The sequence below is a fragment of the Homo sapiens genome, chromosome 19 (assembly GCF_000001405.40).
Source record: "Homo sapiens chromosome 19, GRCh38.p14 Primary Assembly".
Taxonomy (NCBI): Eukaryota; Metazoa; Chordata; class Mammalia; order Primates; family Hominidae; genus Homo; species Homo sapiens.
The window spans coordinates 36667988-36682624 of record NC_000019.10 but is presented as its reverse complement, the minus strand read 5'-3'; the positions used below and the strand labels follow the sequence as shown (position 1 = coordinate 36682624).

At 42.9% G+C, this 14637-nt stretch overlaps 1 protein-coding gene across 3 annotated transcripts in view; it reads right to left on the bottom strand.

The window, feature by feature from the left end:
• ZNF567 (zinc finger protein 567) overlaps positions 1–14637 on the bottom strand; it is a 60573-nt gene that overhangs the window by 44882 nt on the left and 1054 nt on the right. The window contains exon 2 of one of the 3 annotated variants that reach the window (NM_001387762.1): positions 4430–4580. The exons of the other annotated variants lie outside the window; for them this stretch is intronic. The gene's annotated coding sequence lies outside the window, so the exon portion shown is untranslated. The remainder of the gene's footprint in view (positions 1–4429; positions 4581–14637) is intronic. 3 annotated transcript variants of the gene reach the window in all.

The following is a 14637-nucleotide window of genomic DNA, read 5'->3' as shown; positions in this document are numbered from 1 at the left end:
AAAAAAAAAAATAATAATAATAATAATAATAAAATAATAAAAAAAAAACCCATGCAACCGCCATTACAGACATAGAAACTTTCCAACATCCCAGAAGGCTCCCTCATATCTCTTCCCAATCATTATACCTCAAAGTTAACCATTAGTTTGACCTCTATAATAGAATAGTTTGGTTTGGTTTTGAACTTCATATAGGTGGAATCATATAGTATGTACTCTTGTGTCTGACCTCCTTTGCTCAACATTATTTCTAAGTATATAGATACATATAGATAACATTATATCCATGTTGCTGTACATAGTAGTAGCTTGTAATTTAACCTTTTTTTTTTTTTTTTTTTGAGACAGGGTCTCATTCTGTACTCCAGGCTAGAGTGACAGTGACACTATCATAGCTCACTGCCACCTCAAACTCCTAGACTCAAACAATCCTCCCACCTCAGCCTCAGCTCCCCAAGTAGCTAGGACTACAGGTGCATACCACCACCACACCCAGACAATTTAAAAAATTTATAGAGATGGGGTCTCACTATGTTCCCCGGGCTGATCTTGAATTCCTGGCCTCAAGTGATCCCCCTGTCTCTCAGCCTCTGAAAGTGCTGGGATGACAAGTGTGAGCCATAGCACCCACCCTTTATCATGTAATTATTTTGTTACTTCCCTCTTGTTCACTCTCTCTACATATATCTGGTTGTATGTCTTAAGTCTTATACTACTAGAAATTAGGAGTTAGGTTGATCAGTATATACAAAGTTTCAGTTATATGAGAGGAATAAGTTTTGGTGTTCTGTTGTGTAACATGATGACTATAGTTAATAATATTAAACATATGAACTGGGGGGGAACAAATCAGTCTATAACAATTCCCAATTAAAAAAAAAAAAAAGAAAACTTGGCCAGGTGCAGTGGCTCACACCTTGTAATCTCAGCACTTTGGGAGGACAAGGTGGGCCAATCGCTTGAGCCCAGGAGTTCAAGACCAGGCTGGGCAACATGGTGAAACTCCATTTCTACAAAAAAATACAAAAAATTAGCTGGGTGTGGTTGTGTGCCTGTAGTCCCAGATACTTGGGAGGCTGAGGTGGGAGAATCACTTGAGCCCTGGAAGTCAAGGCTGTAGTGAGCCGTGATTGCACCACTGCACTCCAGCCTGGGCATCAGCGTGAGACCTTGTCTCAAAGAAACAAAACTCCTCTTAATGTCAAGGGAAAGACCCAAAAACCTGACAGAAAAGATGGGTAAGAGAAATTAACAATTCACAAAAAATATGTAAAAGGGACCCTTAAATGTGTAAAAAGAGAAATACAAATTAAAATAATATGGAGACAGGCCAGGTGAGGTGGCTTACACCTGTAATCCCAGTGCTTTGGGAGCCTGAGGTGGAAGGATTGCTTGAGGCCAGGAGGTTGAGATTACAGTGAGCTATGATTGCACCACTGCACTCTAGCCTGGACAACAAGCAAGACCCTGTCTCTTGGCAGGGGGAGAGGGGGAATACTGAGACCATTTTTAACCTATCAAGATGACAAAAATTAAAAAATATAACAATGTATTCTGTTGGTGAGACAGGATATAGTCGGCTGACTGATGACCCTGCAAAAAGATATGTCCATGTCCTAATCTCTGGAAACTGTGAATGTTACTTAATTTGGAAAGAGGGTCTTTGCAGATGAAATTAAATTAAGAAGTTTGAGATGAGTAGTTCATCCTGGATTGTCTGGGTGGGTTGGGTCCTAAATCCAGTGACAAGCAACCTTAAAAGAGACACAAGGAGACTGGCAGACAGAGGAAGAAGAGGCAGCAATGTGACCCCGGAGGTGGAAATCTCAGTGATGGGGCCAGGAATGTCAAGGAATGGTCAAGGAATGGCTACAGCCACCAGAAAAAGAGGCAAAGTGAGGCTTCTCCCCTAGAATCTCTAGGAGCGCTCCAGCCCTGCTGATGTCTAGATTTTTGGAGTTCTGGCCTCCAGAATGTGAGAGAGTAAACTATTGTTTAAAGCTACCAAGTTTGTGGTAACTTGTTAGAGCAGCCACAGGAATGAATGTACAGGGAATCAGGCAGTCTCATACACTGATGGTGGGAAAACAAACCGGCACAACCCTTATGGTGGGAAATTTGACAACATGTACAAAAACTACCTACACATTTCCCTTGTGACCCAGCCATTCCACTGTTAGGAATCTGCCCTGAAGATACAACTCCACCTATTAAAAAATACAGCCATTAGAATGGATGATGTTTACCGCTACTTGCTGACAAAGAAAAATGTTCACTTGTGTTAAATGAGAAAGACAGGTCTCAGAACAGCAACAATGTTCTAGACGATTCTGTTTTTTAATACTCAGTATATGTAGAGGAGATTAAAGGGATTTATCGTGAGATGCTCATAGGGGGCAACTGTTATTTCAGATTTCTTTTTTAAAATTTTTAATTGACAAGTAATAATTGTATATATTTGTACAACAATTGTATGTATTGTATGTACAATTGTATATTGATGTATATATTTGTACAATAATTGTATAATTTATATGGTACAATGTGATATTTGTATGCATCAATACATGATGGAATGATCAAATCAGGCTGGTTAGCATATCCGTTACCTCAAATATTTACCATTTCTTTGTGGTAAGAACATATAAAATCCTATCTTTTAGCTATTTTGAAATATACAATACAGTAACTATAGTCACTGTGTTGGACAAAAGAACAGCAGAATGTATTCTTCCTATCTAAACAAAACTTTGTACCTGTTAACCAGCATTTCCCCTTTCCCCATCCACCACATCCCCACCCCCCAACCTTTGGTAACCACCCTCCTACTCTCTACTTCTAAGAGTTCAACTTTTTAGATTCCACATGTAAGTGAGATCATACAGTATTTGTCTCTCTGTGTCTGGCTTATTTCACTTAACATAATATCCTCTAGGTATACCCATGTTGTTGCAAATGACAGAATTTCATGTTTAAGGCTGAATAGTATTCCACTGTGTATATATCCTCCATTTAAAAAATCCATTCATCCATTGATGGACACTTAGCTTGTTTCCATATCTTAGTTATTGTGAATAATGCTACAGTTAACATGGGAGTGCAGACATCTTTGACATACTGATGTCAATTCCTTGTGGGGTTGCTGGCTCATATGGTAATTCTATTTTTTGTTTTTTGAGGAAGCTCTACACTGTTTCCCAAAATGGCTGTAGTAATTTACAGTGCTCGCAACAGTGTTCCTTTTCTCTACATCCTCACCAACACTAACCTTTCATCTTTGTTTGTAATAGCAGGTGTCTAACAGGTGCACGGTAATATCTCACTGTGGTTTTTTTGGGGGGGATGGAGTCTCGCGCTGTCGCCCAGGCTGGAGTGCAGTGATGCAATCTCGGCTCACTGCAATCTCCACCTCCTGGGTTCAAGCGATTCTCCTGCCTCAGCCTCCCAAGTATCTGGGACGACAGGTGCGTACCACCATGCCTGGTTAATTTTTTGTATTTTTATTAGAGACGGGGTTTCACCATCTTAGCCAGGATGGTCTCGATCTCCTGACCTCATGATCTGCCCAGCTCGGCCTCCCAAAGTGCTGGGATTACAGGCGTGAGCCACCGCGCTCGGCCCCTCATCGTGGCTTTAATTTGCATTTATCTGATGATTAGAGATGTTTAGCATTTTTCGTATATGTGCTGGCCATTTGTATGTCTTCTTTTGAGAAATGTATACAAGTCCTTTGCCCATTTTTAATAGGGTTATTTGTATTCTTTTTTTTTTTTTGAGACAGAGTCTCACTCTGTCACCTAGGCTGGAGTGCTGGAGTGCAGTGGGCGATCTCGGCTCACTGCAAGCTCCGCCTCCCAGGTTCACACCATTCTCCTGCCTCAGCCTCCTGAGTAGCTGGGACTACAGGCACCCACCACTACGCCTGGCGAATTTTTTGTATTTTTTAGTAGAGATGGGGTTTCACCTAACCCCAAGGATGGTCTCAATCTCCTGACCTCATGATCCACCCACCTTGGCCTCCCAGAGTGCTGAGATTACAGGCGTGAGCCACCGCACCCGGCCAGTTATTTGTATTCTTGTTATTAAGAAGTGTGAGTTCCTTTTACATTTTGAATATTAGCCCCTTATCCAATATATGATTTGCAAGTATTTTCTCCTAATCTTTGGGTTGTCTCTTCATCCTATTGTTTCCTTTGCTATGTGGAATAGGATTCTCTGTTTTCTTAATTTTAATGCTCAGTGTGTATTTCTTTTATAATTAGAAACTCTATAAGGCTAATCCTTCCCTCCTTAAAACTGGAAGAATTATAGAAGGAGCTATGGGCACACTGACACAGAGGCATGATGGTGAGGTGTCTTTGGGAACTCAGACTGAAGGGACCTCAGTTCTCTCCACTGGCCACTGAGGGAAAAGTTTCTCAAACAATACCTTGAAGTTTTGACTCTTCATATCAGCTGAGCATTTATCTGCAATGGCTTCCCTCTTCTTTGAGCCACCTTAACACATTACTCTCCACACATTCACGGCTATCTCCTTTTCTTCAATGGGGAAATCACATCTGGCTTAGAGATAAAAGGTCCTGTATATAGGAAAAGAAATTGGACTTAGGCCTGTTGTGGTGATGTCAATTCAGGGAGAGGAAAATATGAGACAGAGGAAGATAAAGTCACTTTAGGTGTCAAGAAAATGAAGCCTCAATAATAAAAACACAGTTGAGTGTTTGCAGCTATAAAAATGTCAGATCAGTTCTTCCAAGGCTCTCAAGAGACTCACAATGAAAGAAAATACTCCCAGCAAGCAGATTATAAATAATAAAGGAAAATATTCTTTAAAAATTTTTATTTTATTTATTTTTTTGAGTTGGAGTCTCACTCTGTTGCCCAGATTGGAGTGCAGTGGCATGATCTCAGCTCACTGCAAACTCCACCTCCTGGGTTCAAGCGATTCTTCTGCCTCAGCCTCCCAAGTAGCTGGGACTACAGGCGCGCACCACCATGCCTGGCTAACTTTTGTATTTTTAGTAGAGATGGGGTTTCGACATGTTGGCCATGCTGGTCTCGAACTCCTCACCTCAGGTGATCCACCCGCCTCGGCCTCCCAAAGTGCTGGGATTAAAGGCATGAACCACCATGCCTGGCCTTTTTTTTTTTTTTTTTTTTTTTTTTGAGACAGAGTCTCGCACTGTTGCCCAGGCTGGAATGCAGTGGCATGATCTCAGCTCACTGCAACCTCTGCCTCCCAAGTTCAAGCAATTCTCCTGCCTCAGCCTCCCGAGTAGCTGGGATTACAGGTGCCCGCCTCAACACTGGGCTAATTTTTTGTATTTTTAGTAGAGACAGGGTTTCACTATGTTGGCCAGGCTAGTCTCGAACTCCTGACCTCGTGATCCACCCACCTCAGCCTCCCAAAGTGCTGGGATTACAGGCGTGAGCCACCACACCCAGCCTTTTTTTTTTTTTTTTTTTTTTGAGACGGAGTTTCGCTCTTGTTGCCCAGGCTAGAGTGCAATGGCATGGTCTTGGCTCACCACAACCTCTGCCTCCCAGGTTCATGCGATTCTCCTGCCTCAGCCTCCCAAGTAGCTGGGATTACAGGCATGCACCATCATACCCAGCTAATTTTGTATTTTTAGTAGAGACAGGGTTTCTCCATGTTGGTCAGGCTAGTCTCGAACTTCTGACCTCAGGTGATCTGCCCACCTCGGCCTCCCAAAGTGCTGGGATTACAGGCATGAGCCACCGCGCCCGGCCCTATCTTTTACTTTTATAAATAGAGATGAAGTTTCACCATGTTGCCCAGGCTGGTATCGAGCTCCTGGGCTCAAGCGATCCCCCAACCTTGGCCTTCCAAAGTGCTGGGATTACAAGCGCGAGCCACCGAAATTATTCTTAACTAGCAAGACTAGGCTCTGACATCACATCCTTATAGTTACATCCCTTTAAGCAGGGTTCAGCCACTCACTCTGCACCTGGAGAACTTGATGGTTATCCCTCGAAGTGACAGTCCTGCAAATGACAAAAACACTCCAAATCTATTAGGTTGGTGCAAAAGTAATTACGCTTTTTGCCACTGAAAGTAAGTCCCACAGGACCCTGAGGGAAATGGGAGGGTGGGGTATACATAGCAGCTGGGCAGCATATGGAAGGAATTTCTCTGGCATGGTTCAGCTTTGAGTCTAGCAGGAATATACTAGTTTAAAAATTCCAGAACTTCCTCAGAACGAACTGTTAAGTGATCAGTTAAAAAAAAAAAAAAGTTGGTTGGGTGCAGTGGCTCACACCTGTAATCCCAGCACTTCGGGAGGTTGAGGCGGGCAGATCACTTGAGGTCAGAGGTTCGAGACCAGCCTGGCCAATATGGTGAAACCCCGTCTCAACTAAAAATACAAAAATTAGCCAGGCATGGTGGCAGGTGCCTGTAATCCCAGCTACTCGGGAGGCTGAGGCAGGATAATCGCTTGACCCAGGAGGCAGAGGTTGCAGTGAGCCAAGATGGTGCCACTGCACTCCACCCTGGGCAACAGAGTGAGACTCTGTCTCAAAAAAAAAAAAAAAAAAAAAAAAAAAAAGGTGTAGAATAATAGAAAAATATAGACAAATCCAAAACATGCTGACAGTGGCTACAGTAGGTTATTATATGTACAGCTATGCCATTTATCAAAGTGTACATATGTACATACAGATACATGTACATATACATACAAATAGAATGCCAGACATCAGCAATAGAAATAAAAATATCTATAGAGGTATACTGGGTGTTTTTGTTTTTGTTTGAGACAGAGTCTTGCTCTGTCACCCAGTCTGGAGTGCAGCAGCGTGAACATGGCTCACTGCAGCCTTGACCTGCTGGGCTCAACTGATCCTCCTGCCTCAGCCTCCTGTGTAGCTGGGACCACAGGCACATGCCACCACACCTGGCTAATTTATTATTATTTTTTATTATTTTTTTGAGACGGAGTCTCGCTCTGTCACCCAGGCTGGAGTGAAGTGGTGCAATCTCGGCTCACTGCAACCTCCGCCTCCCGGGTTCAAGTGATTCTCCTGCCTCAGCCTCCTGAGTAGCTGGGATTACAGGTGCACGCCACCACGCCCAGCTAATTTTTGTATTTTTAGTAGAGACAGGGTTTCACGATGTTGATCAGGCTGGTTTTGAACTCCTGACCTTGTGATCTGTCTGCCTCAGCCTCCCAAAGTGCTGGGATTACAAGCGTGAGCCACTGCGCCTGGCCAATTTTTTATTTTTTGTAGAGATGGGGTCACATTCTGTTTCCCAGAGTGGTCTCCAACTCCTTGGGCTCAAGCAATCCTCCTGCTTCAGCCTCCCAAAGTACTGGTATTACATGTGTGAGCCACCACACCCAGCCAAGGTATACCTTTAACATTTAACATTTAATAGGCTGTGATACTGATTTTTTGTTTTAAATATACTTTTATAAATTTAAACTTAAGTATACTTGTTACATATACTTGCTATTTTCTTTGCAAGAAACATCTGTTGATTTTAGAATGTATGTTTAAGGCATTTTATTAAATGGAAGATTTTCAAAAAGTAGATTAAAAAAGCTTTTAGGCCGGCTGCAGTGGCTCACGCCTATAATCCCTCCACTTTGGGAGGCTGAGGTGGACTGATCACTTGAGGCCAGGAGTTTGAGACTAGCCTGGCCAACATGGTGAAACCCATCTCTACTAAAAATACAAAAATTAGCCAGGCATGTTGGTGCATGCCTGTAATCCCAGTTACTTGGGTGGCTGGGGCACGAGAATCGCTTGAGCCCAGGAGGAAGAAGTTGCAGTGAGCAGAGATCATGCCACTGCACTCCAGCCTGGGCAACAGAGTGAGACTCTGTCTCCAAAAAAAAAAGCTTTAAGAAGTCTTTAGATTTACAGCTAAGCATATTCTAAATACTATGTGATGAATTATTTCTCTTATGTTAAAAAAAATATTAATTTGGACCCAACTATGACTGTGGGTATTCTGCCCAGGGAAGAAGAGCTAGGAGGTTTAAACCTTACCTTGGACTTGCTGCTTTGTTTTCTATGCCTTCTTGACAGAAGGATTTATTTCACTTCCGAAATATTAGCCATAATGCCCTGCTATCAGTAAGAGGACAGCCTTGCTCCATTAGTACCCTTTAGACCCAACATCAACAGACTCTAATCTGTAAGGCATACACATGACGAGAGGACATTCATTCACACCCAGAGCTCCTATGAATTCTTGGGAACTCCCAGGGTTATCACCTGTACTTCTCTAGAAGTCTTTGTCATGCTCTACCTTTGACTTACTTTTATTTCCCCTGTTGAATTATAAGCAATACAAAAGCAGCAATTATATCTTAGTAATTTGTGCTTCTTCCAAGTATTGAAGCACAAGGTCTTGCATGTTGCCAGGCATGCCAGTGTCTTACTCAGAAACCCCCCACTTCTAGGACAATTTGTCTCTTAGGAAGTAATTATAAAAATGAACTAAATAGTATTACAAGAATGCCATTGAAGAATTCCTGATAATAATTAGTAAATAAAAATGTTTGAGAATAAACAGTGTGTTAAATATCATATAATAGAACCCATAATCCTAATGATTTTCATTCCAAATTAGTTGGCACTCATCAGGAATGGCTTTGTGAAGCGGGTGGGATATAGAATAGAAGGTGTCAAGTTAGAAAATGGTAATCTAATAGTTAAAGACTGAGGACTTTGAAATTCAAATTCCAGTTCCTTCTCTTAGGAACTCTGTGACATTTTACAAGTTATTTAAGCTCTTGATGCCTCACCTGCATCATCAGTTTACCGGGAAAGGTATCAATAACTCCCTCAGGGTTCTGAGGGGAGTTAAATGACACTATACATGTAAAATACTTAGGATAGTATATTAAGGTTCTCTAGAGAAACAGAACAAACAGGGTGTGTGTGTGTGTGTGTGTCTGTGTCTGTGTCTGTGTGTATGCATGCACACAGAAAGATTTATTTTAAGGAACTGGCTCATGCAATTGTGGAGCCTTGGTACGTCCAAAATCTGCAAGGCAGGCCAGCAGGCTGAAGACCCAGAAAACAGTTGTGATTCGAAGTCTAAAGGCAGTCTGCTAACACAATTCCCTCTTGCTCAGACATTAGCCTTTGTACTATTAAGAACTTTAGCTGATTGAATGAGGCTCATCCATTGTGTGGAGCGTAATCTGCTTTATTCAGAGTCCACTGATTTAAGTGTTACTCTCATCCAAAAAAACACCTTTCACAGAAACATCCAGAATAATGTTTGACCAAATATCTGGGCATCATGGCCCAGTCAAGTTGACACATAAAATTAACCATCATAAGTCCACCCTTGTCGACTTGGTACCCATAAGCATCTCCTAAAACCATACTTCATATCTGAATAAAGGCAGTAACAAGGTTATACTTCTGCTTAACATGATACAACTATCCTGCATAAAACCAAAAATAACTAACACTTCCCCAGAAGAGGATGCAAAGTCTGGATGATGTTAATGCTTCTCCCTGATATCCCATAACTTAAAAACTGATATAAAGTTAACAATATTTAAATACTCTAATATAAAGTCAGTATATCATACTGTACATGATAAAGAGATATGAAAGGGATGAAAACAAAGCTGTGTTGTATACACATTCATTATAAAATAAAGAAGACACATTCATGACAATTAGTCTTTGTTTCTGTAACTGCTCACGTGGTTATAGCTGGTATTCATACCTACCTTCTTCCATTATCCATTATGTATTCCTTTTTCCCTCAGCAAGCGAGCTCCTCAGCTGATTGTGGTTCTTTAACTGGTGGGGTGACCCAAACCTTCATTCGTTAAGGGTCTGGATGGTAGTTTTGGCAGAAGCATTTTGTGTCAGGAAGGCAAATTTGTATCTAAAGTGTGTATTCCAGTAAGAAAAAAATACTACCCCTTCCATGATGGAAGCAATCCAATGTATCAGCCTGCCACCAGGGAATGGTGCCATATTGGGGAGCCAATGTTGGTCTTGGCTGCCAGCAGACTGGGCACTCAGCAGTAGCTGTAGCCAGTTTGGCTTTGGTGAGCAGAAGTCCATGTTGCTGAGCCCATGCATAACTTTCATCACTGCCATCATGACCACTTTGTTCATGAGCCAATTGGGTGATGATAAGGGTAGCTTGGTAAAGAGGCTGACTGATATCCACAGAATGGGTCATCCTATACACCCGATTATGAAACATCCTCTGCTAAGGTTACCCTTTGGTAAGTATTCACATAGGGCACAAATATCTTTATATTTTTTACCTGTTCAGCGAGGTCCATATCTCTTCCCTAGAATTCCTTGTCACCAGTTTTTAAATAATGTTCCTTCCAAGTTCCTGACCATCCAGCCAGACCATTGGCTACAGTGCATGAGTTGGTATATAATGTCACATCTGGCTATTTCTCCTTCTAGGAAAAATGAACAACCAGGTGCGGTGCTCAGAGTTCCAATCACTGGGAGGATTTCCCTTCACCACTGTTCTTTGGGGATGTCCCAGAACAGGACTGTAGCGCTGTCCAGGTGGTATCTGTCTATCATGCAGAACCATCTGTAAACCAGGCCTGAGTCTTCTCTACCTCTATCAACTGATCATAGGGAACTCCCCATGAGGCCACGAGTGCAGGCTGGGAGAGAAAGGTATTGTAGCAAGAGGGGGGACGATGGGCTTTTGGGCCACTTCTTCACATGTGTGCCTTCAGGGCCTGCTTAGGCCTGATCACATTTATACCACTTAAATTTTATGATGGAGTACTGCTGTGTACACTCAATTTAATGACTTGGTGGGTCAGGTAACACCCATTTCCTGATGGGTAGTGCAGGTTGCATGGTAACTTCGTGGCCCATGATTAAATGTTCAGTCTCTACTAAGGTCCAGTAGGAGGCCAAAAGCTGCCTCTGAAGAGTCGTTTTCTAAAAAGGAAGATAGGGCTTTGCTCCAAAATCCTCAGGGCCTGCACTGTGATTCCTCTGCTGGGCCCTGCCAAAGGCTCCAAACGGCATCCCTCTCTGCTACTGACACTTGAGGCACCATTAGATTTGTTGGATCATGTGGCCCAAGTGGCACATCAGCTTGCACAGCAGCCTGGTCCTGTTGGGGAGTTTTCCTTTGTTCTGGGCCCCGCTGTAAACTAACAGTTTTTTGGATCACTTGGTAAATGGCCAGCAGAATAACACATCCAAGTGAGGAATGCGTTGCTTCCAAAATCCGAAGAGACCCCCTTTGCATTGTGCCTCCTTTTTGACTGTAGGAGGAGCCAGATGGAACAATTTATACTTCATCTTAGAAGGGATATCTCACCATGCTCCACACCACCCGACCTCTGGGAATTTCAGTGAGGTAGAAGGCCCCTGATTTCTTGTTGGGTTTATTTCCATCCTCTGACATGCAATGTCTTAACAATAAATCTAGAGTACTTGCTACTTCTTGTTCACTAGGTTGAATCAGTGTAATGTCATCAATGTAATGGATCAGTGCAGTATCTTTTGTTTATTTGTTTGTTTGTTTGTTTTGAGACGGAGTCTTGCTCTGTCGCCCAGGCTGGAGTGCAGTGGTGCGATCTCAGCTCACTGCAACCTCTGCCTCCTGGGTTCAAGCAATTCTCCTGCCTCAGCCTCCCGAGTAGCTGGGATTACAGGTGCATGCCACCATGTTCAGCTAATTTTTGTATTTTTAGTAGAGACGGGGTTTTGCCATGTTGGCCAGGCTGGTCTGGAACTGCTGACCTCAGATGATCCACATGCCTTGGCCTCCCAAAGTGCTGGGATTACAGGTGTGAGCCACCACGCCCGGCCCAGTGCAGTATCTCGTGGAAGGAAAAGGCAATCGAGATCCCTGTGAACTAACTTACGATATGTGTCTGGAGAGCTGATATACTCCTGAGGCAGCACAGTGAAAGCGTATTACTGGCCTTACCAATTGAAAGCAAGCTATTTATGGTGGTTTTAAATAACAAGGATGGAGAAAAAAGCATTTGCCAATTCAGTAGCTACACATCAGGTAGCAGAGGATGTGTTAATATCCTTAAGCAACAAAACCACATTTGGTACAGCAGCTACAACTGGAGTCACCACCTGGTTAAGCTTATGATAATCCAGTGTCATTCTTCAAGACCCATTTGTCTTCTGCAGGGCCAAATAGGCAAGTTGAATGGTGATGGGGTGGGAATCCATTACTATTATTTTGTAAATAGTAAATTTTTACTATTTACAAAAATAGTAAAAAAAATTACTATTTTTCTAGGTGGAGACAGTTTTAGTCGCTTCCACCTGGCCTCTCCCACCATAACAGCCCTCAGTCCACAGGTCAGGTAATCAATGTGGGGATTCTGCCGGTTACTAAGTAGATTTAGTCCAATTATGTGTATGGTATTGGGGATACAACCACAGAATGCTTCTGGGACTTGCTGTGCCCATTGTGAGACAGACCTGAGCTAAAACTCCATTCATCACCTAACTGCCATAAGCCCCTACTCTGACTGGTAGATCACAGTGATGTTTTGGATCTCCTGGAATTGAGGTCAGTTCAGAGCCAGTGTCTAATTTAAAACAATTTAATAAAAATGAAACAATAATTTATTGTGATAAAGAATGCAAAATGGCCATGAAAGAACATTTCAAAGAAAATATCTGTTACAGGGTAACTGTCTGGGAAGATGGCTGATATTCTTTGATGGAAGTTAAATAGATAGGAAATCTACTAAAGAGTTAATTGATTTGTGTAAGTGGAAGACTTCTAGGTCAAGTGAACAAAAGTATAACTTGATTCATAAAGACAGAAAGTCAGTGTCCCTCAATGAATACCCAGACTTGAGCCAGTGAAGAGACCCAGAAGCCCTTGAACAAAGGGGAGGCCAGGTCCCCTTAAGGAAGAGCACCAGTATACTTCCAGAAATTTATACTGTTAATCTTTCTCCCAGTCTTCCAAAAGGGACCTACGGCTTTTATTAGAGTGACTGTGCAGAGACCAACACTGAGTCCCAACATGACACCATTCTCTGGTGGCAGGTTGGTTACATCGGACTGCTTTTTTCTCACTGAAATAGACACTATGGATATGGATTTGCCTTCCTTATACAAAGTGCTGCCACCAAACTACCCTGAAAAGTAATCCCTGAAAGGTCTGATTATTTATTTTCCCCACTGTAACGTATCCATGGGTCCCAGATACCTGCATTCTCTTATGTAGTTACTACATTCATATAACTTCGCAATCTTTCATTCGGATTTTAATTCATGTCACATTTAAACACACCAAATCTCACATGATCTCCAACTCAATCATAATCCTTTAAAACATACACATCAACCTCAAAGCCACAACAGTCTAATCACATACCCCTTCACTGTCATACAATTCATCCAGAGACTTGAGCATATTCGCAAACCACTTTCACATAGTCATCCCTCAGTGTCCCTCCAGGACCCCTCCCCACCAACATACACAGATGCTCAAGTCCCTTATATAAAATGAACACGGTATTTGCATATAATCTATGGAAATCCTCCCATATTCTTTAAACCCTCTCTAGATTACTTATAACACCTAATAACCATGTAAATACTATGTACATAGTTGTTATATTCTATTTTTTAGGGCATAATGACAAGAAAAAAAGCCTGTACAAGTTCAGTACAGATGCAAACATCAACTTCTTTTCCCAGATATTTTCAACTGAAGGTTTGTTGAATCCACAATGCAAGACCCATGGATAGGGAGGGCCAGCTGTACGTCATATATTTCACTCTACTTTCTCTCTCACTGACAGTTTCAAGTGCAAACCATCTCACATACATGAATGAGAATCAGACACAAGCAGAATCACTTGTTCTCAAACAAGCACCATTTCCTCATATTACACTTGGTGATGGAGTTACTGGTCTCTCAGCAAGGTTAAAAATCCTTACCATGGATCTGTCCCTTCTGGCAGATAACATGTGCCAGCTTCCACTCCTCTAAGTCGGCTCTGGACTCTCACACACAAACATACACAGTCACCTCACACCGCTCCTATGCATACATCTAAGGTTCAGGACGCCCTGGTCCAGAGATCTGTCATTCATCCATCTCAGACCTTCCTGGTCGCAACCAGCTTCTTCCCTTCTCAGGGGCCGCCACAGTCACACTAGTCCTCTAATCATGGGTGGACCCAGCGCAAAAAGCCTCACACAGAATGTCACAAGATCCCTGTGCACGTGGCTGCGCTCCTGCAAACGTGGCAATCACACGGGTCCAGGTGGCCTCTCACATTTAAGCCACATCACGTATCACCCCCACAGGGGCCACTGCGGGAGTGGCGGCGCTCGCCGCATGAGCCCCACGCGGGCATATAGAACAGCCATTCTCAAAAAGCCTCAAAACCGTTTCACCACCCAGCGCGGTGGCTCACACCTGTCATCCAATACTTTGGCCACTGAGACGGGAGGATCGCTTGAGCCCAGGAGTTCGAGACCACCAGCCTGGGCAACATAGCGAGACCCTGTCTTTACCAAAAAAATAAAAATAAAATAAATCGTTTTGGCCTGACCCGGTGGCTCACGCCTGCTATCCCAGCACTTTGGGAGGTGGATGCGGGAGGAGCTGAGGAGGTGGAGACTGCAGTGAGCTAGGATCGCGCCACCGCAGTC